The sequence below is a fragment of the Homo sapiens genome, chromosome 1 (assembly GCF_000001405.40).
Source record: "Homo sapiens chromosome 1, GRCh38.p14 Primary Assembly".
Taxonomy (NCBI): Eukaryota; Metazoa; Chordata; class Mammalia; order Primates; family Hominidae; genus Homo; species Homo sapiens.
Genome location: NC_000001.11, coordinates 24,041,746 through 24,066,110, shown reverse-complemented (window position 1 = coordinate 24,066,110; position 24,365 = coordinate 24,041,746). Strand labels below are relative to the sequence as shown.

General features: G+C 48.0%; 1 protein-coding gene and 1 long non-coding RNA gene across 2 annotated transcripts in view; one reads left to right on the top strand and one right to left on the bottom strand.

The window, feature by feature from the left end:
• MYOM3 (myomesin 3) overlaps window positions 1-10,070 on the top strand; it is a 56,095-nt gene extending 46,025 nt beyond the window's left edge. The window contains exons 29-37 of the mRNA NM_152372.4: window positions 110-220; window positions 1,952-2,039; window positions 2,581-2,619; window positions 2,877-2,985; window positions 4,002-4,165; window positions 4,802-4,838; window positions 5,029-5,051; window positions 7,132-7,187; window positions 8,484-10,070. Of these exons, the coding sequence (NP_689585.3) occupies window positions 110-220; window positions 1,952-2,039; window positions 2,581-2,619; window positions 2,877-2,985; window positions 4,002-4,165; window positions 4,802-4,838; window positions 5,029-5,051; window positions 7,132-7,187; window positions 8,484-8,747 (891 nt within the window). The 3' untranslated portion in view covers window positions 8,748-10,070. The remainder of the gene's footprint in view (window positions 1-109; window positions 221-1,951; window positions 2,040-2,580; window positions 2,620-2,876; window positions 2,986-4,001; window positions 4,166-4,801; window positions 4,839-5,028; window positions 5,052-7,131; window positions 7,188-8,483) is intronic.
• LOC107984931 (uncharacterized) lies at window positions 1,982-23,837 on the bottom strand. The gene is made up of 3 exons (XR_001737929.1): window positions 23,766-23,837; window positions 10,197-10,399; window positions 1,982-2,064 (listed from the first exon to the last, which is right to left on the bottom strand). It is a non-coding gene; the product is annotated as an uncharacterized LOC107984931 (long non-coding RNA).
• Between the last annotated feature and the right edge of the window lie 528 nt (window positions 23,838-24,365).

The window sequence follows — 24,365 nt, the reverse complement described above, 5'->3', positions numbered from 1 at the left end:
CATGGTATGTGAAAGGACTCCACTGAGATGCCTGAAAGTGTGCACAGGTGTGTTTTTACTCAAAAAGAAACAAGCCTGACAGAGTCTCCTCATTCCCCACCTTCCCCAGGTGACCAACACCAAGAAGGAGACTCGCTTTCAGTGGTTCTTCCAGAGGGCAGAGATGCCAGATGGTCAGTATGACCCAGAGACGGGAACGGGACTTCTCTGCATTGAAGAGGCAAGTGTGGCTCCAGCTTCAGGGCTCACTTTCTCCTTTGGCTGCAAGCCAGGGAGGGCCAAGAGCTCTGGGCTGGGAGTCAGGGCAGGGCCGAGGCTAGGTTGATGCAAGTGAGGCCCTGAGCACAAAATTTAAGAGGCACCAAAAAACTCAGTAATCAAGATAAATAATATTGTATGCAATATTCTAAAAAATCAAAATTAATGCAAAAAAACTATTAAAGCCCCCAAATTTTCAATAGAGACAGAATCAGTATTACTGATTTTTTTCTTTAGCTCCAGTACTGGCCCTGCCAATGACTGTGCAGGCTTGGGCTAGCCCCCGTCGCTCTCTGACCTCAGCTTTCATCTGCAACATGAGCGGGTTGGAAGGGATGCTCTTTCAACGCCTCCTTCCTGCCCCAACAGTCTAGGAGTCGGGACAGGAAGGATGTCTCCATGTGAGGCAGATCTGGGCAGAATAAAGCAGGCCTGGAGCTCAATTCTCCCCCCAAGTCCTCCCCCATGGCCTTTGGTGGACCGTGGCCTGGTTAAGAGAGAAACACAAGGCTTGCTCTCAAACGTCAACCTTTTTCTGCCCTGCTGCTGATGTCTGTGGCCTCACTGGGTGCCCAGGAGGACTGGAGCAAACAGAGCCTTGCTGACTAGGAAGAAAACAATGATTTCAAGGTCTTCTCCCAAATCCTGGCCAGGCTGATGCCAAGTCAGCCTTTGCCACCACTGTGCAAGCTCCTCAGACAGGCTGTGGCACCAGTAGGTGCTTCAAAGTTACAGAGTTTTATTATAATCATCAGTCCCATTGGTGCAAACTTTCTGGCCTCCTAAGAGTTACCTCCCTTGATCCCCACAGCAGCTGTAGCATACAGGCAGGGCAAGGATGATGCCATGATTTTACAGATGAGTAAACTGAGGCTCAGAGTGTTTCAATGCAAAGACATAAGGCTAGAAGGTGGGGTCAGAAGCCACTCCAGTCACCCACCCTAGGTTTGGCTGAGAACTTGGAGACTTCCTGGGATGGTGAGGACATAAGAGAGGACTTTTGGGGCTCAGCACCTCAATCCTCAGGTTAAGAGCTGCCTCTGTCTTGGATCCTGCCCCAAACCCACTGTGTGGAGATGGTCCTGGTGGGAAGTATTGAGAGATGAGGGCTGAAGGAAGGTGCTGTGTAATGAGAGGTCACTTCTGATCTCTGGACCTTGCCTTGAAAGCACAACTCAAGTTCTTACTTTGCTGAGTGTTTGTTCAGACTTAATTTGGGGCTGACAAACATGGGCCAAAAGGGCCCCCTTGTCCTGGGCAGGAGAAAACACGCTTCCTCCTGGGGAACTGCAGGTGGTGGGGGTCCCTCCATCCAGGAGCCCCCAGGGAGTGAAAGGTGGGCCAGGCCCAGACAAGCTCTGCAAAGTGAGGCTCACTGTGTCATGTCATGCTCAGAGCAGCTGCCTGTGAATGCAAACGAAGGTGTCTGGTTCTGTCCTCAACTCCCCCTACTCCACCCCTTCCCCAGGCCCAGACAAGCCCCGAGCTAGGAATCCAAGGGCTCTGGAGCTGAAAGGAGCCTTAGAGCTCACCCAGCCCAGATGAGTAAATGGAGGCCCAGGGAGGAGAAGGGTCTTACCTGAGGTCACACAGAGAGTGAGGGGCAGGCCTGGAGCCCAGGCCTCCGGATTTGGTATCCATCTCTCCTTCTGGAGCCCATGCTGACACCACCATCGCTCATCCTTCTTTCCAGTTGTCCAAAAAGGACAAGGGAATTTACAGAGCGATGGTTTCTGACGATCGAGGGGAGGACGACACCATATTGGACCTCACGGGTGACGGTAGGAGCTGGCGATGGGTCAGGGGCTGTGGAGGGAGCACAGTGGAGCAGACTGTGATGTGATCTGTGCAGTAAGATTTATGGGATCCCCATGTCACTTGGAGAAATTGAGGCACAAAGAGATTAAGTAACTTGCCCAAGATTCCACATCTAGTCAGTGGCAGGAGCCAGGTCGGTGTGACTCCGATGCCCTCGTTCACCACAGTATACCACAGTGAGCCCAGGCTTGGAGACCCGAAGCCTGAGTTCACTCCTCCGTCCCACAGTGGGCCCAGGCTCCTCATCAGGCTGATCAGCTCAGCCTGCAAAAACTGTCAGATTTGCATGTTTGTCCTCCATCCATAGTGCCCTTCTGCCCACCCCATTGCTGAGTGCCCTGAACCCCCTCCTATCCCCAAGCTATGAGAGTCATCCTACAGAGTTGCCTGTCCCCCTGAGAGCAGCTCACGGGCTCCACCAGCCTTTTTCTAGGATGTCCCCACTCCTAGCACATCCCTAGGGGAGCCCTATGCCAGCTAACCCTTCTCTCTGTTTCCCGCCAGCCCTGGATGCCATCTTCACCGAGTTGGGCAGGATTGGTGGTAAGCAGCCTGCCTCTTTGCCCAGCCCTGCCCTGCCCTGATGCCCAACAGCCTCCAAGCAGCCTAACACTGGCCTTGGCTATTGGGGGTGGGTTTAGTTTCTAACCTCAAACACCGAAGAGAAAATCCCGCCTCTTCACAGCACTGCATTTCCCCCACAGCACCTGCCCCCCAGGGCAGAGGCAGACAAGCCGGCCCCAAAATCTGATGCCTAAATGGCCTCAGGGAAGATTCATCCTTCTCCTCTGTCTCCCCAGCCCTCTCTGCAACTCCACTGAAAATCCAGGGGACCGAGGAAGGGATCCGGATCTTCAGCAAGGTCAAGTACTACAACGTGGAGTACATGAAAACCACCTGGTTCCACAAGTAAGTCCGCCTTGCCCCAGAACCCCAGCCAGGCTGGAAAGGATTCAGCACCTGACCCATGGGGGCCTCCCTCCCTTCTCCCTGCCTGGTCCTCCAAGCAGAGTTTCTGGTCCCCCAAGCAGAGCCTGGTCCCAGGGGTTAGCAGAGACAGAGTCTCTTCCTGGTCTTGCTGTCCACAGAAGGAGTTGAGGATAGAGATTAGCAGTGGGAGGAGTAGAAAGGCTTTGCCGAGATCCCCAGGGAAGGTGGGAACCTTGGCGGGACAACATTTTTCTGGAAACTCTATGGCCACAGCAGGATCAGTCTCTGGGCAGCAGCTGGGAACTGGGGGAGAAAGGGATGCAGGGACAAAGAAGAGCCAAGTGGTCAGGTGGGTCAGGGGACCCTTGTGGGCCTCTGCAGACTTAGCAAACTTGGTCAGCCAGGCTTAGGGGAAACATGCAGGAAAAGGGTCTGTGGGGCTGGCCACTAACTGAGAGCCAGGGCTTGAAGGCAGGATAGATGAGGTACCCACAGAGACTCAGCCACTCTCTGAGTGGCCCCAGATAATCCAACAGCAGAGTTTTCCCAGTGCTTTTTACCAGCTGCATGCCTCAGCCTTGTGGAGCAGACATTACTGCACCCACTCTATGGAGAAGGCTTGACTAATTTGGTCCAGGTTGTCAAATGAGTGAGAGCCAAGAACAGATGGAATTTCAGGACAATAGGTTCCTCCCCCAGCGAGTTTCTGAGCCCTGTGACTAAGCAGAGAGGTGTCACCTCTGCAACACAACACTGGGAACAGAGGACAGCGTCTCTAGGAATGATGAATGAATGAATGAATGAATGCAGTATTGAATGAGGAATGGAGGGTTGAATAATCAATGAGTAAGTGAATGGATATTTATCTGGTGCCTCATAGTCACCACCCATAGCCCGTGATCTCAAAACAAAACCAGAGGAGAGGATTTTGGGGCACGGGTATCTGTTGACCTGCAGACAGGCAGCCTTAACCATTTCTCCACCCTCACATTCAGAGACAAACGTCTGGAGAGTGGTGATCGGATAAGGACGGGCACCACCCTGGATGAGATCTGGCTTCACATCCTGGACCCCAAAGACTCAGACAAGGGCAAATACACTCTGGAAATAGCTGCAGGGAAGGAAGTCCGGCAGCTCTCAACAGATCTCTCAGGGCAAGGTGAGCCATCCACCTATGTCTGCAGGGAAACCTGCTTAGAAAATCCCATGGACAGTCTGGGCACACTGGGTCAGTCCTGTAATCCCAGCACTTTGGGAGGCTGAAGTGGGAGGATCGCTTGAGCTCTGGAGTTTGAGACCAGTCTGGGCAACATAGTGAGACCAGCCTGGGCAACATTCCTACAAAAACTAAAAATAATTTAGCTGGGCATGGTGACGCCTGCCTATATTCCCAGCTACTTGGGAGGCTGAAGCGGGAGGATTGCTTGAGCCCAGGAGATAGAGGCTGCAATGAGCTGTGATCACACCACTGTACTCTAGCCTGGGCAACAGAGTGAGACCCTGTCTCAAAAAATAAAAGAATAATAATAAAGGTTACTCTGGGATAGGTGTTAAGGAAAGAAATATTTTTAAAAAATTTTTAGCTAAATAAAAAGAAAGAAAAAAGAAAATCCCATGGTCTTCTGAGGGTACGCCTACCCTCCCACGCAGTCCTGCCACTGCCCCAAAGAAACATCGGCATGGGGAGGAGAGTGGAGGACAGTCAGGGATAAGCTTTGCTCCCAGGGTCACCCTGTCCCCATCATCAGACAGCAGAGGCCCTGATGGCCCCCATTCTCCTCTGTCCTTCTTATAGCTTTTGAGGATGCAATGGCTGAACACCAGAGACTGAAGTAAGTTTCCTCTACATTTCTCAGTGTGAATTATAGGCCCCTTCAGGGTGTGGCATAAACTAGGCTCAGGACTCCTTCCTGGGAGCCCCAGCCAGCTCCACCTTTCCTTCATCACCCCTCACCTCCACCTGGGCTGGACTGTCCTTTAGCAAGTGGAATGTCACACCTTGTTCCCATTTCTGTTTTTCAGAACCTTGGCCATCATCGAGAAGAGTAAGTCGGCCGATATTTCTGTTGTTTTTGTTTCTGAATTTGGGGCAAACTTCCTGGAAGCTCAACCCTCTTGGTGGGCTGCTGAAGGCCTCATTCCACAGTGGGGTCTGTGGGGCTCTAGGGTCTTACAGAGCTGCAGGGAAGACCTGGGCAAGACAGAGACAGAATCCGAGGACACCTGGGATTGTGTTGTGGAAGCATCCAGCGCGAGCCTGGTTCTCGCAGGCACATGGACTACATTGGTGGGACCGAAAAGGAGGGGACAGACAGGAATGAGGCTGGGCAGGCCTTCCCGAGTGATCTGTGGGGATGGGGTGACTTTAAAGCTGAAGCTATGGCTCTCGAGGTATTGGAGCCTCATCGAATCCAGGATGAAGCCCCAAACCCAGAGGCACATGGCACGGCCTCCGGGCCACCCGGGGAGCCACCACCAAGTCCATGAGCTCGAGCTTGTCCCATTCATCACCTCCCAACCCAAGCCAGTTCTAAGCGGCCTGGTGGTAGGAGTCTGGCTGTCTGCTCTCACTGGCCCAGCAGATGAGGAGTAAGGATTTCAGTGAGGGAAAGACCCGGGCAGGCAGCAGAGCACAGGTGTGGCCATAGAAGGAGACAGCACAGCTCTAAGAACAGACAAGAAAACTCACACCGCCAGCTTGAGGCCATGTGTGGGAGGGGATAATTCGCTCTGCGTGGCATCATTGACCCCGAGTGTCCCCACTTGACAGGAAGTGCAGGCCTCAGGCTCATAGCTGTTATTGGGAAGGGGCAATTGAGGGGTATAAGTGGCCATGCAGTGAGAAGCTCCTGCAGGGGGCTGAGGGGCGCCTCGGTGGAGGGAGCACAGCCCAAGACCAGCCTCAGCCTCAGGCCACGAGGAGGCTCTTGTACCATGAATCTAATCATTCACCCAGTGAGAATGTCCCTGCCCATAGTGGAATGCGTCATCCTGAACAGAAGCCCCGTCCAGGACCCTAATAGAGGAAAGCTGAATTCACCAATACTGGGTTGCTGGGGCATGTGGCATCAGAGCTGAAGGAAACAATCATTTTGTCCAGCTGTGAAGGGTTGGTGACACTTTCTGCCCACAACTGCATCCATCTGTGGGGCCTTCCCCTCCCCATCTGGGGTCCTGCTCCCCTTTCACCCACTGGACAGACACCATCCGCATCGGGATCTTTGCACATCCCTGATCCCTGGTCTAGGCCGTGCTGACCACCCGTCCTGTTCCCACAGCTTCCCCTGCACCATGAGGAGTAGACCAGATTTCTGCTTAGTGGTTGACAACCACACTCTTCCTGGCCACCCACAATGGCCACCAGGTCCCTCGCTTGACCAGGTTCAAAGTGTCCCAAAAGCTTCTGTTTTTTCAGACAAAAGCAAAAGGTTCTGTTGCTTTCTCTGACCTTGTTGGTCACACCCGTTGTGTGGATTTTGCCAGTTGAAGTCTCAGAGTCCCACTTACCTTCTTCCTGGTTCTTGAGGGCAGGAGCATCTCATGGTCACCTCCAGGTACCACCAATCATAGCAAATGACCTCAGATCAGTGGCAGAAAAACACTATGTCCCATATCTTCTACTTATGAATACAAAGAAGCATGTAATACAGTTCTAGAGATTTCCATCCAAGGCCAGGTGTGGCGGCTCATGCCTATAATCCCACCACTCTGGGAGGCCAAGGCAGGAGGATTGCTTGAGCCCAGGACTTCAAGCCCAGCCTGGGCAACATGGCGAAACCCCGTCTCTACAAAACATACAAAAATTAGCTAGGCGGGCTGATGCATGCCTATAGTCCCAGCTGCTCAGGAGGCTGAGCGGGGGAGGATTGCTTGAGCCTGGAAGGCAGAAGTTGCAGTGAGCTGAGATCGTGCTGCTGCACTCCACCCTGGGCAACAGAGCGAGACCCTGTCTCAAAAAATTAATTTTGAAAAAAAAATTTAAAAAAGATTTCCATCCAAAATAATGAAAATAGAAAAAGGAAAAAAAAGAAGCCTTGCTTAAAAATAAACCTCAACTCTATGAAACTTCTGGGAAGCGGCTGGCAGAAAAGGATTCATCGCTGGGGTCTCTTATTTCCCTTCCAGATCGTGCCAAAGTGGTGAGAGGTCTGCCGGATGTGGCCACTATCATGGAAGATAAGGTACTGACCCTTCCCAGCCCACAGCCAGCAGTCCCCCTCTGTGTTCCTTCGTGCATCCACCACAGATCACGAAACAATGCAGCACCATGGATTCAAAGCCAAAGAGTGGCCAAGTGACCACACCTCATTGATGACATGTGGTACAAAGGAAAGTCACTGGGCCTGGTGTCAGCCCTCAGTGGGTACTTGACCTAGTTCTATCTCCATCTGTCTAGACAGCCCTGGGCATCCTAGACTTCTACCTGCGGACTTCAGCGTCCAAAAGAAATGTCTACTGAGAGATCCCTAAAAGCCCGTCTAGGACTGAACTTATTTATGTAAATCTAGTGTTCCTGAAAACAATTGCTGACTTATTGATGGTGCTTACTTTTTGTCAGGCACGATTCCATGTATATTATCTTTTTGAGCTTCTTTAGCCATCAAGGTAATCACATGAAATAGGGTTTTATTTATTACTAATCATAGTTTATAGCTGAGGAAACCCAGAGTCCCTTAACCCAGGTTAAGAGACCTAAGGTCACACAGCTTGAAGGGGCAGAGCTGAGATTCACACCCAGGAAGCCCAACTCCAGAGCCTGTGTGTTTAATAATTACATTATAGTGCTCTGCATTAGAGCTTGTTCAGTAATTTTCTATTTTAATTCATAAACCTATGCACTAAATCTATATAATCTTACTTGCATTGTAAAATCGTAGTGACATATATATTACAAAAAGCAATAAAACAAAGTGAAGGCCATTCTGGGACCGATAATTGCGAGAGTAATTATGGTCTGAGATTCTGATGGGTAAGTATTCCTGTAGAAAGGTTGAGAATGCCCGGGCACAGTGGCTCACGCCTGTAATCCCAGCACTTTGGGAGGCTGAGGAGGGCAGATCACTTGAGGTCAGGAGTTTAAGACCAGCCTGATCAACACGGCAAAACCCCATCTCTACTAAAAATACAAAAATTAGCCGGGCTTGGTGGCGGGCACCTGTAACCCCAACTACTCAGGAGGCTGATGCAGGAGAATCACTTGATCCTGGGAGGCAGAGGTTGCAGTGAGCCGAGATCATGCCACTGCACTCCAGCCTGGGCGATGGAACGAGACTCCATCTCAAAATAAAATAAAAGGTTGAGGATGAAGGATGTGGGGTTAAAATAAAATCTCTCCCCTTTATAAATTATAATAAAACACATGTACTAAATTATCACAGGGAGCAACCTGAGCTGGGAGCTCTCTGGGGGCATGAAAGCAAATGCTAAGTTCAAGTTACAAGGAGGTGAGACTGTTCCCTTCCTGTCTTTTCAAACAGACCCTGTGCTTGACTTGCATCGTCTCAGGAGACCCCACCCCTGAAATCTCTTGGCTGAAGAATGACCAGCCTGTCACCTTCCTTGACCGATACCGCATGGAAGTGAGGGGGACAGAGGTCACCATCACCATTGAGAAGGTCAACAGTGAAGACAGCGGCCGCTACGGCGTCTTCGTCAAGAACAAGTATGGCTCCGAGACGGGCCAGGTCACCATCAGTGTGTTCAAGCACGGGGACGAGCCCAAGGAGCTGAAGAGCATGTGACAGCGTGTGTCCAGGCACAGTCTGAGTCTAGTCTACATGGACCAGTAGGGACAACCTGTACCAGGGTCACAGCCTGGCACAGGCTACAGGGGTGGGGCAGAAGGAAAGGGGACAAGATAGAACCCAGGATGTGAGGGTGGGGGTGGAGCGGATGCACCAAAGTGGAGAAGCAAAGATCTTTCTGGGGTCCTGAGTGGCTTCCAGGAGAGCGGGATGAACCCTGGACCTGGAGTAGGAGACCCGGATGCACTGGGGCTATCTAACAGTACTGGCATCTGATAGGTAGAGGTCAGGTACGCTGCTAAACACTGCAGCTCCCACCACATAGAATTATCCGACCCCAGATGTCAAAAGTGCCAAGGGCCATGAGCCCTGCCATAAACTGATACATCGCACCCCTCTTTTAGGATCCCATAGTTTCAATTCATGTAAGTTCAACAGACACCTGAAGTCTAGCATGTGGGAGGCTGAGGATGGAGCTGGGAACACAAAGGCAGCTGATAAGCAGGTTCTGCTTGCAAAGAGGCCTCAGTCCAGTGGGAGAAACAGACCTGGGCGCAAACAACTCCAGGACAAGGCAGGACATGATAAAGATTATAAAGCAGGTCCAAGGAAAGTGCCGCCAGTGGTCCAAGGAGGGAGACAGAGGGTCGTCCCAACAGGGGGAGGTAGGGCTTTGAAAACACCTTCATCCAGGCTGGGCGAGGTGGCTCACGCCTGTAATCCCAGTAGTTTGGGAGGCCAAGGCGGGCAGATCACCTGAGGTCAGGAGTTTTAGACCAGCCTGGCCAACATGACGAAACCCGGTCTCTACTAAAAATACAAAAATTAGCCAGGCATGGTGGCAGGTGCCTGTAATCCCGGCTATTCAGAAGGCCGAGGTGGGAGAATCCGTTGAACCTGGGAGGCGGAGGTTGTGATGAGCCAAGATTGAGCCAAAAAAAAATTAGCAGAATTGGTGTTGGGCCCTGAAAAATTAGTCCGATTTTGTGGTGGTAATGGGAGAAGGACATCCCAGGAGCAGGGTCTGGTGGGAGGAAAGGGAAGGAGGAGGCTAAGGCTGCCCAGGAGGCCTTGGATACCAGGCTTGGAGCTGGTAACCTCCAGGGCTTCCAGCACGGGGCCTCTGCCTGGTGTGACAGATACCGGCTGGCCTCACTTGATGGATCTCAGTACTGAGCTGGGCATTTCTCTGCCCCCCAACTTTTTTCTTTTTAAAAATAAGATGGGGAGTGTTCATAAAATTATAGATGTTTGTTGTAAAATTTTGGAAAACCCTGGAAATTATAGAGAAAATAAACATAATCTATACTCCCAACACCACAAAGTAACACCTGCCTCTGATTTCTGCAATGGCTTCTGAACTGAAGGATAAAGTGAGTCACCCCTACATACCCCACCTCTGCACGTATCAAGACGTGGTGGGTAACATATCCCCCAGCGGCTCACCTTCCAGGCTGCATGGTGCAGGCAGACCAGGCGTTTGATGAGACCTCTGCAGGGAGCAGCGGGGACCAGGGAGACCTGACTGGAGTTTGGGGAATCACGCAGATCTCGGAGGCAAACACCGCTGGTTTGAAGCACCCCTCTACCATCCACTGGCTGTGTGGTCTTGCACAGTACTTTTCCTTTTCTGGGCCTCAGTTTCCCATCTGTAAAACCAGAAGGCTGGAAGATCATTTTGAGGGTCCTTCCAATGGACACTAAGTTTTTGTTTTATTTTGTTTTGTTTTTGAGACAAGGCCTGGCTCAATTGCCCAGGCTGGAGTGCAGTGGCACCATCTCTGCTCACTACAACTTCTGCCTCCCAGGCTCAAACGATCCTCCCGCCTCAACCTCCTGAGTATCAGAGACTACACACCACCACACCTGGCTAATTTTTGTATGTTTTGTAGATATGGAGTTTCACCATGTTACTCGAACTCATGAGCTCAAGCGGATCTACCTGCCTTGGCCTCCCAAAGTGCTGAGATTAGAGGCATGAGCCTCCCTGCCCAGACAGATTATTTTATTACTTCCCAGAACTTCATCCTCTTTTGCTTTTCTCTTCCTATGAATATGTAGTAAACAAAAAGACATCATCCTAGCCCATCCTCCCACTCTTAACACTTCCAACATCAGAGGAAAGTCTTGGCTTCTTTGGTGTGTCAATGAAAATATGTCACAAATTTCAATGACATAGGAAAGCCTGTTGGCCTTGGTGGAACATGATATGAGCATCCCTGTTTGTGCAATTTGCACATGCACTGTAAGAAGCTACAAGCTGCGCTTCATGGGGCTGGAGATGTTGTGAGCTTTGTGATTGCTGACAAGCCAGTTTGGGGGCAGAAGCCAGTCCCTGGTCTAGTGCGTTGGAGTCCTTAACATATGAATCATAATTTTTTAAAATTCCTGGTCTGGCTGGGTGTGGTGGCTCATGCCTGTAATCCCAGCGTTTTGGGAGGCCAAGGCAGGAGGATCACTTTAGCCTAGGAGTTCAAGACCAGCCTGGGAAGCATGGCGAGACCCTTTCTCAACAAATAATAAAGAAAAACTAGCCAGGCATGGTGGCATGTGCCTGTGGTCTCAGATGCTTGGGAGGCTGAGGTGGGAGAATTGCTTGGGCCCAGGAGGTCGAGGCTGCAGTGAGCCGTGATGGCACCACTGAACTTCCCACCTGGGCAACAGAGTGAGACCCCACCTCAAAAATTAAAAAAAAAAAATCTGGGCCTAATAATTCCAATATGCTTGGCATATCTCAGTCTGGTTTTAATGTTTGCTCTGTCTCTTCCGTGTGTTTTACCTTTTAGTATGCCTTGTAATTCATTGTTAAAAGGCAGGCATGGCATAAAAAGGAACTGTTGTAAATGGGCCTTTAGTGATGTGACAGTGAGGTGTGAGGGAGGAGAAGCACTCTAGAGTCTATGATTAGGTCTCGGCAAACACTTTATGTGAATGTGTCACCCAAAGTTCATGTGTTAGAACTTAATCCCCAGTGCAACAGTGTTGCTTCTTATAAGACATGATGAAGTGAACTAATGAGGGCTCTGCCTTCAAGATTGAATTTTTCCTTTTTTTTTTTTTTTGGAAACAAAGTCTCACTCTGCCACCCAGCCTGGAGTGCAGTGGCATGATCTCGGCTCACTGCAACCTCCACTTCCCAGATTCAAGCGATTCTCCTGCCTCGGCCTTCCAAGTAGCTGGGATTACAGGCATCTGCCACCACACCCAGATAGTATTTGTATTTTTAGTAGAGATAGCATTTCCTCATGTTGGCCAGGCTGGTCTTGAACAACTGACCTCAAGTGATCCACCCACCTTGGCCTCCCAAAGTGCTGGAATTACAGGCATAAGCCACCACGCCCGGCCATGAGTGAATTATTGATCCATGATGTATCATTATCATGGGAGTGGGTTAGTGATCTTTGGAGTGGGTAATTCTCATGGATTCCTGATAAAAGGATGAGTTTTTCCCCCTGCCCCCATGCTCTCTCACCATGTGACGCCCTCTGCCACAGGATGATGGAGCACAAAGACCCTTGCCAGATATGTTCCCTTAACCTTGGACTTCCCAGCCTCCAGAACTGTAAGAATTAAATTTCTTTTTTTTTTTTTTTTCTTTTTTGAGACAGAGTCTCACTCTGTCGCCCAGGCTTGAATGCAGTGGCGCGATCTCGGCTCACTGCAAGCTTGGCCTCCCAGGTTCACGCCATTCTCCTGCCTCAGCCTCCTGAGTAGCCAGGACTACAGGCACCCACCACCACGCCCGGCTAATTTTTTATATTTTTGGTAGAGACAGGGTTTCACCGTGTTAGCCAGGATGGTCTCGATCTCCTGACCTCGTGATCCACCCGCCTCAGCCTCCCAGTGCTGAGATTACAGGCGTGAGCCACCACGCCCAGCCTTAAATTTCTTTATAAATCACCCAGTCTGGGCTGGTGAAGTGGCTCACACCTGTAATCCCAGCACTTTGGGAGGCTGAGGCAGATGGATCACTTGAGGTCAGGAGTTCAAGACCAGACTGGCCAACATAGTGCCCCTTCTCCACTAAAGATACAAAAATTAGCTGGGCCTGTTGGCACACACCTGTAATCCCAGCTACTCGGGAGCCTGAGGCAGGAGAATTGCTTGAGCCTGGGAGGTGGAAGTTGTAGTGAGCCAAGATTGCACCATTGCACTCTGCACTCCAGCCTGGGTGACAGAGTGAGACTCCGTCTCAAAATAGATAAATAAAGAAATCACCCAGTCTGTGGTTTTCTGTTATAGCAACACAACATGGACTAAGAGACACCGACAATCCCAGCATTTTCAGAAACTCTCCATGGACCTCCCAGCATTCTGGACTTTTCCAGAGAGCCTAGGCAGGGCACACAGCTGGAAGGAAGGCTGGCCAGCCAGGCAGATTCCCCTCTACTGGCCACCAGCCACTCCTCCTCCACACCTGTTGGGTCACCTTTCACATCCCAACCAGGATGCAGTCCTTGTCCTAAAGCATTTTTTTTTTTTGAGATGGAGTTTCACTCTTGTTGCCCAGGCTGGAGTGCAATGGCACGATCTCGGCTCACTGCAACCTCCGCCTCCCGGGTTCAAGCGATTCTCCTGCCTCAGCCTCTCGAGTAGCTGGGATTACAGGCGTGTGCCATCATGCCTGGCTAATTTTGCATTTTTAGTAGAGACGGGGTTTCTCCATGTTGGTCAAGCTGGTCTCGAACTCCCAACCTCAGGTGATCCGCCTGCCTCAGACTCCCAAAGTGCTGGGATTATAGGCTTGAGCCACCGCGCCCGGCCATCCTAAAGCATTAGAACCATTAAACAGATGGGCACAGAAAGCAAGAAGCTGGATGGGAAATGATAGCCTGTGTAATAAGTAACTCTACCCACTCAGCCTCAACCATGGCTCTAGTGAGATGCTTTTCATACTTCAAAAATTCCAAATAACTTCAAGCAACTTGAGTGATATTTTCATGCCAAAAATAGTCTCAAAAGAAGCACTCCCCAGAAATCTAGCTAAGAGAGGCCAGATATTTAATTTTCAGCATTTGAGGAAAGTATTACGGCTGGAGCCAGAGGAGCTAAGGGAAAAACAAATTGCATAGCCTGTGAGGAATATGCCTCTTTTCACCTGGGCCTCCAGAAGTCCACGTGCCCTGGGACGATTTTTACATCATCGCTTCCTGTACTTGCAGATCTAAAGAAAGAAAAACGCAGGGCCACACAAAATCCCTTTTATTCCAATTATAAATATTGGAATAAAATAAATATTGGAATAAATATCAAATGTTTCATGGTGAAATTAGTCTTTGGGTTTGCTTTAAAGTACTTTAGTCTAATAAAAAAAAGTGGGAGCGGGGAGACAAATGGAAAAGTTAGCAAAATAGTGATGCTTCTTGAAGCTGGGTGATGCGTACCTTGGAGTTCATACTACCATTCTCTCTCTGTTTGAATATATTTGGAATTTTTTCATAATAAAAAACTTCAGAGACCTCATGAGAAACAAATCTTCGGCTGTCTTTTCATACAGGAGTCATACTCATTATTTACATCCGGCAATTAGGCAAGGATTTTAGATACAGGAAAGTGTGCACAGAGTTCCTCTCCTGCAGGCAATTTACTACAGCCTGTTATTTTTCAATTGCGCAAGTTAAAATGAATGGGTGCTCTACAAGAAATAATTATCACGGAACCGCTGCAGTTTTCTTTAAAAAACTTACACATCCAAGGGATTCATTGACTCCACATTCATTCAACACACACTTTATTGAGATTACTATGTCTCAGGAACCTACAAAATTAAAGCCTGGTGCTGAGATCCAGCTTCCTTTCACCCAATGTATGACCTGATTAAGTTTTTTAGCCTGTCTTCCTCTTGTCTGTAAAAGGAAGGCTGCTATGAGAATTAGATGAGACGATGCTTGCTTGCCAAGTAACTAACACAGTACCTGACAGGAGCTAAACAAATCATAGATTTCCCCACCCACCCATTCCCTGGGGATGTCATAGTCTACTGGGAAAGAGAGAGGTGTCAATCCAACCCCCACAGAATTCAACAGTTCCTTCCTTCTCCACAAATTTGACTGATGATAGTATGAACGCTTCCAGAAATGAAAGCCCACAACCTCACAAAGGATTTTTAAAGCAGTATCTGTCATATTTTTTCAACAACAGAAATTAGAAATGCTTGTTGTAGAAAAATTACATGAGACAGAAAAAATAAAGAAGAAAAGTAAAAACACCCATAAACCCACCAGCCTGAAAGAAGTAAAATGGAAATGAAATGTTAGTTTATCAGCTAACCTAATAGATATTCCCACCGATTCCCCATTGCTGCCTCCACTCTAGAGACTGGGATGTTAAATACTCACTTTCCCGGGTTCTCCTGTAGCTGGCGGTAGCCACAGGACACAATTCCAGTCAAAGAGAAATAAGCCAACATCTGCTGGGGCACCTTGGTAGGCTCTTGGTGTTCCTGATCAAAGGGACAGACACTGCAGGCACCGTACAAGTCCCCCTCCTCCTTCCTGACTCAAGTGCAGTCATCCTGGAGCTGGAGCAGGCCTCAATTTTCTTTATGGCAGCCCAGCCATTAAGAAAAGAGAATCGCAGGCCAGGCACGGTGGCTCATGCCTGTAATCCCAGCATTTTGGGATGCTGAGGCGGGGGGATCACTGGAGGTCAGGAGTTCAAGACCAGCCTAGCCAACATGATGAAACCCCATCTCTACTAAAAATACAAAAATTAGCTGAGCATGATGGCACACACCTGTAATCCTAGCTACTCAGGAGGCTGAGGCAGGAGAATTGCTTGAACCCAGGAGGCAGAGGTTGCAGTGAGCTGAGATTGCGCCACTGCTCTCCAGCCTGGATGACATAGCGAGACTCCATTCTCAGAAAAAAAAAAAAAAAAAAGAGAATCGCAGAGATCCGGCCCTGACATCTCCACACTGCTGCCATCAGACCCTCAACCACCACCTCCAGACTACAGGCTACATATGAGATAAAACCTTTCTTTTTTTGAGATGGAGTTTCACTCTTGTCGCCCAGGCTGGAGTGCAATGGCGTGATCTCAGCTCACTGCAACCTCTGCCTTCCAGGTTCATGGATTCTTCTGCCTTGGCCTCCCAAGTAGCTGGGATTACAAGCATCCGCCACCACGCCCGGCTAATTTTTTGTATTTTTAGTAGAGACAGGATTTCACCATGTGAGCCAGGCTGGTCTTGAACTCCTGGCCTCAAGTGATCTGCCCGCCTCAGCCTCCCAAAGTGTTGGGATTACAGGCGTGAGCCACCGTGCCCAGCCAATGAGAGAAAACTTAACCCCTCTAAGTTTAAGCCACCATGAGTTAGGTTTTCTGTTCCTTGGTGCTGAAATCATTCCCAACCCACACAACACGTGTTAGGTGTATTTCATGCTAAGTTTAACAGAGTTGAGAAATCCTACGAACAATTTTACATTCTGGTTTTGTATATGCCATGACATCATAAGAACTTCCTCACATCATCAAAACATTCAAAAACCCCATATTAATGTTTATGTTGTAATTACGTATTATTTTCATATTGCTAGAAATTATTTAGAATTTTTCACTCTTAAAACTGGAATGATCATCCTTATACATAAATCTTTGCGTGCATCTCTGAAAAATTCTTTCGGATAGACTCTAGAAGGGGAATTACTAGGTCAAAGGGCATGAATTACTAAATTAAAAGCTATTCAACAGACTAACAGAGGCCAGCAACCAGTGATGGTAACCTGAGTCTTCGCCTTAAACACAGGTCACAAGTTAGTCAATCAAACATGATCAATTTGTGTTAGTCAACACAAATTTTATTTATTTTATATATATATGTGTATATATATGTGTATATATATGTGTATATATGTGTGTATACATATGTATATATATATAGTGTGTGTGTGTGTGTGTGTGTATATATATATATATATATTTTTTTTTTTTTTTTTTTTTTTTTTGAGACAGAGTTTTGCTCTTGTTGCCCAGGTTGGAGTGCAATGAAGTGATATCTCGGATCACTACAACATCCACCTCCCCCATTCAAGTGATTCTTCTGCCTCAGCCTCCTGATTAGCTGGGATTACAGGTGCCCACCACCATGCCCGGCTAATTTTTGTATTTTTTTTTTTTTTTTAGTAGAGATGGGTTTTCACCATGTTGGCCAGACTGGTCTCAAACTCCTAACCACAGGTGATCCACCTGCCTCCACCTCCCAAAGTGTTGGGATTACAGGCATGAGCCACCACACCTGGCCTGTTTATTTATTTTTTGAGACTGGGTCTCACTCTGTTGCCCAGGCTGGAGTGCAGTGGTGCAATCTCAGTTCACTGCAGCTACGACCTCCCCAGACTCAGGCAATCCTCCCACCTCAGCCTCCTGGGAAGCTGGGACTACATGTTGTGCACCACCACGCCCAGCTTAATTTTTGTATTTTTTTGTAGACTTGGGGTTTTGCCACGTTGTCCAGGCTGGTCTCAGACTCCTGGGCTCAAGCGATCCATCTGCCTCGGCCTCACAAATGCTGGAGTTATAGGCATGAGCCACCGGACCCGCACACAAATTTTGTGAGTAGTTCTTTCACTCCAGGTGCTATGCTAGGCACTGGCAATACAGTGATAAACAAAAAAGACATGGACCCTGCCCACATGAGAAACACCATTTATCAGATGTTTACCCAGAGAGATGGTGGTTGGTTTTTACTGGACCACAGCCAACTAATGAAAGGACAGGCTCACCATAAAGTTATAAAGCGGAAACCAACTGAGAAAAATGCTTGTGATTCATGTGTAAAATATAAGGCTAACACACTTAATAATCAATTACGATCTAGTCATATTGTGACTGATACACAGTCACCAACAATGATATTGCATGGATGGGCAAAGTGGCTCACACTTGTAATCCCAGCAACTCTGGAAGATGAGCCCAGGAGTTCAAGACCAGCCTGGGCAACATAGTGAGACCCTGTCTCTACAAAAAAAAAAAAATTAAATTAGCCGGGTGTGGTGGTGCATGTCTATAGTCCCAGCTACTCAGGAGGCTGAGATGGGAGGATAGCCTGAGTCTGGGGAGGTCATAGCTGCAGTGAGCTGAGATTGCACTACTGCACTCCAGCCTGGGCAACAGAGTGAGGTCCTGTCTATATATATATATATATATATATATATATATATATATATATATATATATATATATATATAATATTTAGAAGCATGGGGGGAAAACATGGCCATGCTCTGTGGCTCACACCTGTAATCCCAGCACTTTGGGAGGCTGAGGTGGGTGGATCACTTGAGGCCAGGAGTTTGAGACCAGCCTGGCCAACATGGTGAAACCCCATCTCTATTAAAAATACAAAAATTAGCCGGTCCTGTTGGTGCGTGCCTGTAATCCCAGCTACTCAGAAGGCTGAGGCAGGAGAATTGCTTGAACCCAGGAGGTGGAGTTTGCAGTGAGCCGAGATTATGTCATTACACTCCACCCTAGGCGACAGAGAGGGGGAAGAAAAAAAGCAGCAGCATGGAAAAATGTTCAGGATAGGTTTTAAAAGTCAAAAGACAGGCCAAGCACAGTGGCTCACACCTGTAATCCCAGCACCTTGGGAGGCTGAGCAGGCAGATCACTTGAGCCCAGGAGTTTGAGACCAGCCCAGCCAACATAGTGAGACCGCACCTTAATTTTTTTAAGTAAATAAATAAATATTTTTAAAATAGAAAAGAAAAAAATTTAAATTAAAAACAGGAGAAATTCATCCTGTGCCATTTCCTTCTTCCAAGTGTCGACTCCTCTTCAGAATCTGCCTGCTTTTTTTTTTAATCTCCAGTGCTTTTTTTTTTCCCCCGGAGTTAACAGTTGAAATCTGCCCGGAGATCAGTCCAGTTGGAGCTTACTTGCCACACCATGAATGGAACTCCTCATTGGGACTTACTGTCCTGGATTCTGTCTTCAGATGCCCCCTCCAGGTGAGGAGTCCACAGAACCAAGAGGACATGTCACTCAGAGCAGGCCCTCCTCCTGGGAATTGCCCCATGGACTTTTGGCGTCTCTGCCTTCTGACTCATAACACAGATTTTGGATAGGGCGGGGCACCCCTTGCCTCAGCACTCCAGAGAAGCCCAGCAAGCTGGACCTTAAGTGACAACCACAACTGAACAGTTCGAACTCAAGGTCCATTCTTTTCAATCATCTCAGCAGCAACAAATTACTGAGCTATGAGGGTGAGTTTATTTTCAAAGGATGGGATTACAGGCATGAGCCACCATGCTTGGCCCAAACCTTCCTTTAGAGGTGTGGGGTGACCACTAAAAGTACTAAAAATAGAATCACTGAAGCTACTTGAGAGGCTGAGGAAGGAGGATTGCTTGAGCTCAGGGGGTCGAGGCTGCAGTGAGCCATGATTGCACCACTGCACTCCAGCCTGGGCGACAGAGCAAAATCCTGTCTCAAAAAAAAAGAGAGAGGGAGAGATACTCAATGATGCTTTTCATCTGCAAAATAGAGTGATATAAATAAATCAGTAATAAAGTGGTTGAGTCCAGGTTGCTTTCTGAGGGTGGGAAGGCAACTAAATGCACTGAGTTTATTTAATATTTGCCTAATAACGTAATCTCTGGTCCCTAAAGCAGCCTCAGGGCTAACAGCACAAGGCCCACGGTCAGGCTACTTGGGTTCGAAATTCTGCTTGCTTATCCAGGCCTAATCACTTAACCGCTGTGAAACAATACTTTCATCTGCCAAGTGGTGATAACAAATGGGCCTCCCTATTTAGGTGATGTGTGGAGGAGCACATTGCTCTCATCACTATTCAAAGGGTTGGCTGGAGCTGGGTTTTGAGGTAATTCAGCTGCCAGCAGCGCCTTTCCCTGTTCATTCTGAGTCAGAAATGTGGGCGGATACAGTCACATAGAAGATTACAAAAGAATGCTACTGGCCAAAATCTCAAGTCTCCCAAGCAGCAATAACTCCTGCACGGGCTGTCAGCTGGGGTCGAGCCAAGTGGGCAAACGGGCTGGTGGCTCAGAGGGATTTGCTCCTCCTGACTTTGACCAGATGAGGCGGCTTTCCCAGCTCTAACATCTTTAGTTGCTTCCCACTTGCTTTTGTCACTGACTGCACAGTTTAAGATGTTTAATAAACTTGTCTCATTATCCATCTGGTGCTCACCACATGATACTTTTTCAAATCATTTGTTTATTTCCAGAAAAATAAAAATAACACTTTGACTATCAGATGTTGCACTAGCAAATCATTTTCATGTGTATCTTTCCTATATGCTACCTCATCTGACCTTTACAATTGCCCTTTGGTGGATATCTTACCCAAGAGGGAGTGGAAGATCAAGAAGGTTAAGTAGCTTGCCAGTGATTTGCAGGGCCTCTTTTTATTGTTTTAATATGGCTACTAGAAAATTCAGCTGGGCACAGTGGCTCACGCCTGTAATCTCAGTACTTTGGAAGGCCAAGGAGGGAGGATTGCTTAAGCCTAGGAGTTTGAGATCAGCCCTGGCAACACAGTGAGATCCCTGTCTCTACAAAAATAAAAATAGCTGGGCACAGTGGCACGTGCCTGTAGTTCTAGTAATCAGGAGGCTAAGACAGGAGGATCATTTGAGCCCAGAAGTTCGAGGCCTCAGTGAGCTGTGATCATGCCCCTGCACTCCAGCCTGGGTGACAGAGGGACACCCTGTCTCAAAAAAAAAAAAAAAAATTAAATTCTATATATGGCTCTTGTTATATTTCTGTGGGACAGAATCAAGTTAAACTGTTCAATTACCAGAGACAGCTGCTGGGCGCTGTGGTTCATGCCTGTAATCCCAGCACTTTGGGAGGCCAAGGCGGGTGGATCACCTGAGGTCAGGAGTTCAAGACCAGCCTGGCCAACATGGTGAAACCTTGTCTCTACTAAAAATACAAAAAATTAAGGCCAGGCACAGTGGCTCATGCCTGTAATCTCAGCACTTTGGGAGGCTGAGGCGGGTGGATCACCTGAGGTTAGAAGTTCGAGACCAGCCTGACTAACATGGAGAAACCCCGTCTCTACTAAAAAGACAAAAAAAAAAATTAGCTGGGCGTGGTGGCAATTACAGGCATGGAAAAAACCTGTCTCTACTAAAAATACAAAATTAGCCAGGCGTGGTGGCCCGTGCCTATAATCCCAGCTACTCAGGAGGCTGAGGCAGGAGAATCGCTTGAACCTGGGAGACGGAGGTTGCAGTGAGCTGAGATAGCGTCATTGCACTCCAGACTGGGCAACGAGAGCCAAACTCCGTCTCAAAAAAAAAAAAAAAACCAAGCCACCAGGCTTGGTGGCGGATGCCTGTAATCCCAGTTACTCAGGAGGCTGAGGTAGGAGAATCGCTTGAACCCTGGAGGCAGAGGTTGCAGTGAGCCAAGATATCGCGCCACTGCACTCCAGCCTGGGCAACAAGAGCAAAACTTCGTCTAAAAAAAAAAAAAAAAAAAAGGAATATTACTCAGCCTTTAAAAGGGATGAGCTGCTGACACATGCTACAACATGGATGAATCTTGAAAACCTTTAAAAGGAGTGAAATGTTGACACATCCTCCAACATGGATGAACCCTGAAAGCCAGACACAAAAGGGCAAAGATTGTATCATTGCACCTATATGAGGTACCTAGAACAGGAAAATTCATTGACAAAAAGTAGAATAGAGGTTACCAGAGGCTGAGGGGAGGAAGGAATAGGAAGTTACTGTCTAACGGGCATAGAGTTTCTGTTTGGGATGATAAAAAAAAGTTCTGGAAATAGTGGTGATGATGACACAACATTATGAATGTACTTAATGCCACTGAACTGTACACTTAAAAATAGTTAAAATGGGCCGGGCGTGGTGGCTCACACCTGTAATCCCAGCACTTTGGGGGGCCGAGGTGGGTGGATCACCTGAGGTCAGGAGTTAGAGACCAGCCTGGCCAACATAGAGAAACCCTATCTCTACTAAAAATACAAAATTAGCCAGGCACAGTGGCACATACCTGTAATCCCAGCTACTTGGGAGGCTGAGGCAGGAGAATCGCTTGAACCTGGGAGGCAGAGGTTGCAGTGAGCTGAGATCGTGCCATTGCACTCCAGCCTGGGCAACAAGAGCAAAACTCCACCTCAAAAAAAAAATTCTTTTGTTAAAATGGTAAATTTTATGTTGTGTATATTTTACCACTATTAAAAAATCAGGCTGGGCACCGTGGCTCACACCTGTAATCCCAACTCTTTGAGAGGCCAAGGTGGGCTGATCACTTGAGCCCAGGAGTTCAAGACCAGCCTAAGCAGCATGGCAAGATTTTGTCTCTACAAAAAATTAAAAATTAGCTGGGCACGGTGGCACACACCTGTAGTCCCAGCTACTCAGGAGGCTGAGCTAGGAGGATCACTTGAGCTCTGGGAGTCGAGGCTTCCCTTCTTGACCTCTCCATAACCCAGTCTCCACATAGCATGACATCACTGTTTGGAACTTTCCAGTGGCTTGCCATCACATTTTGAATAAAATACAAAGTGTTTATCATGGCCCACAAGGCCCTACACAAATGGGCTCCTGAGACCTCTTAAGCTCAACTCCTAGTACTCTCTTCCTTGCTGGCTGTGAGCCATGATTGTGCCACTGCACTGCAGCCTCAATGACAGAGCAAGACCCTGTCTCAAAAAAAAATAAACAAGAAAGCACAATAATTTCAGATAGTGCTCTAAAGCAAATAAAATGATGGTGATGAGGTAAGGCAATAGAGACTGAGGGAGGGTAGAGCTGCTTTAGATTGCATTACCAAGGCAAATCCCTTAAGAAGGTGACATTGGAACTGAGACTTGAAACCTGAGAGAGGGCCAGCCATGCAGAGAATGCCCCAAGGGAAAGATACTGCAGGGAGAGAAAACAGCCAGAAAGGGGCTCTCAGGCAGTTGAAAGAGCCCAGCATAGCATGAACATTGGTTAACAAGGAAGGGAGTACTAGGAGTTGAGCTGAAGAGGTCCCAGGAGCCCATTTGTGTAGGGCCTTGTGGGCCATGATAAGCACTTTGTATTTTATTCTAACTGTGATGGCAAGCCACTGGAAAGTTCCAAACAGGGGTGTCATGCTGTGTGGAGACTGGGTTATGGAGCGGTCAAGAAGGGAAGCTGGGAGACCGGTTATGAAGCTACTGCAATAGTCCAAGCACTTCTGTTTTCTTTAAATTTTTTGTTTTGTTTTTGAGATGGAGTCTTGCTCTATCACCCAGGCTGGAGTGCAGTGGCATGAACTCAGCTCACTGTAACCTCTACCTCTTGGGTTCAAGCAATTCTCCCTGCCTCCAGCCTCCCGAGTAGCTGGGATTACAGGCACCCACCACCATGCCTGGCTAATTTTTGTATTTTCAGTAGAGGCAGGGTTTCACCATGTTGGCCAGGCTGGTCTCGAACTCCTGACCTCAGGTGATCTGCCCACCTCGGCCTCCCAAAGTGCTGAGGTGTGAGCCACCATGCCCAGCCTGCTCTTCTGTTTTGTATCTATGACCTCTCTCACCCTTCCTCTGACTATATCTCTCAAATTCCACAGCTGTAAGATGCATTTATGTGCTGATGTTACCCAATCTATGTCTCCCAATTTGTCAAGTCAAATCACATGAATCATAGATCTCACAGTACCAAACTCTACTAATTCAAAGGATACAGACGATCCCAAGGCACAGGCAAAACATCCCTCCCTTGAAGTTCAACACCATCAACACCTCCCCACAGAGAGCATTCCTCTACTGCATAGAATATGTTTGCACTTGTATTTAATGTGTGAGTCTAAGCAATTGTACATGCCACCACTTACACGAAGGAGCCATATTGATTACAGAGCATCTTCATTTTACACCCCATTAATTACACAGCTTATGTGACATTTTCCAGCACGCTATGCTCCATAAATCCACAAATTCCAATTTTACTTCTGGTAAACACCCTAGGCAGACAACGTATATATTGATAAATGCATTACACAGATAAAGACTTACCATTATCTTTCTGCTAGTAAATACCATTAGTTTGCTTACCAGAAGCTCTGGTTACTGGAGTGTTTACAAGGGGATGTGAGTGGGGATCCCTTTCTTCCCCCAAGGATCCTTGGTAAAGAGAAGAAATAGGTTTCAGGATTGCTGCTCAACCTTTCCTTCCCAGTCACTATGCTCTTGCTGTAAAAATTCAAATAGTACAGAAATATCTTGAAAAGCAAAAGGCGGAGCTGGGTGTGGTGGCTCTTGCCTATAATCCCAGCACTTTGGGAGGCTGAGGTGGGCGGATCATGAGGTCAGGAGTTCGAGAGCAGCCTGACCAACATGGTGAAACCCCGTCTCTACTAAAAATACAAAAAAATTAGCCGAGTGTGGTGGTGTACACCTGTAGTCCCAGCTACTCAGGAGGCTGAGGCAGGAGAATTGCTTGAACCCAGGAGGCAGAGGTTGCAGTGAACCAAGATCGTGCCACTGCACTGCAGCCTGGGCGACAGAGCGAGACTCCATCTCAAAAAAAAAAAAAAAAAAAAAGCAAAAGATGGGCCCAAGCATGATGGTTCATGCCTGTAATCCCAGCACTTTGGGAGGCCAAGGCAGGAGGATTGCTCGAGGCCAGGAGTTCAAGACCAGCTTGATCAGCAA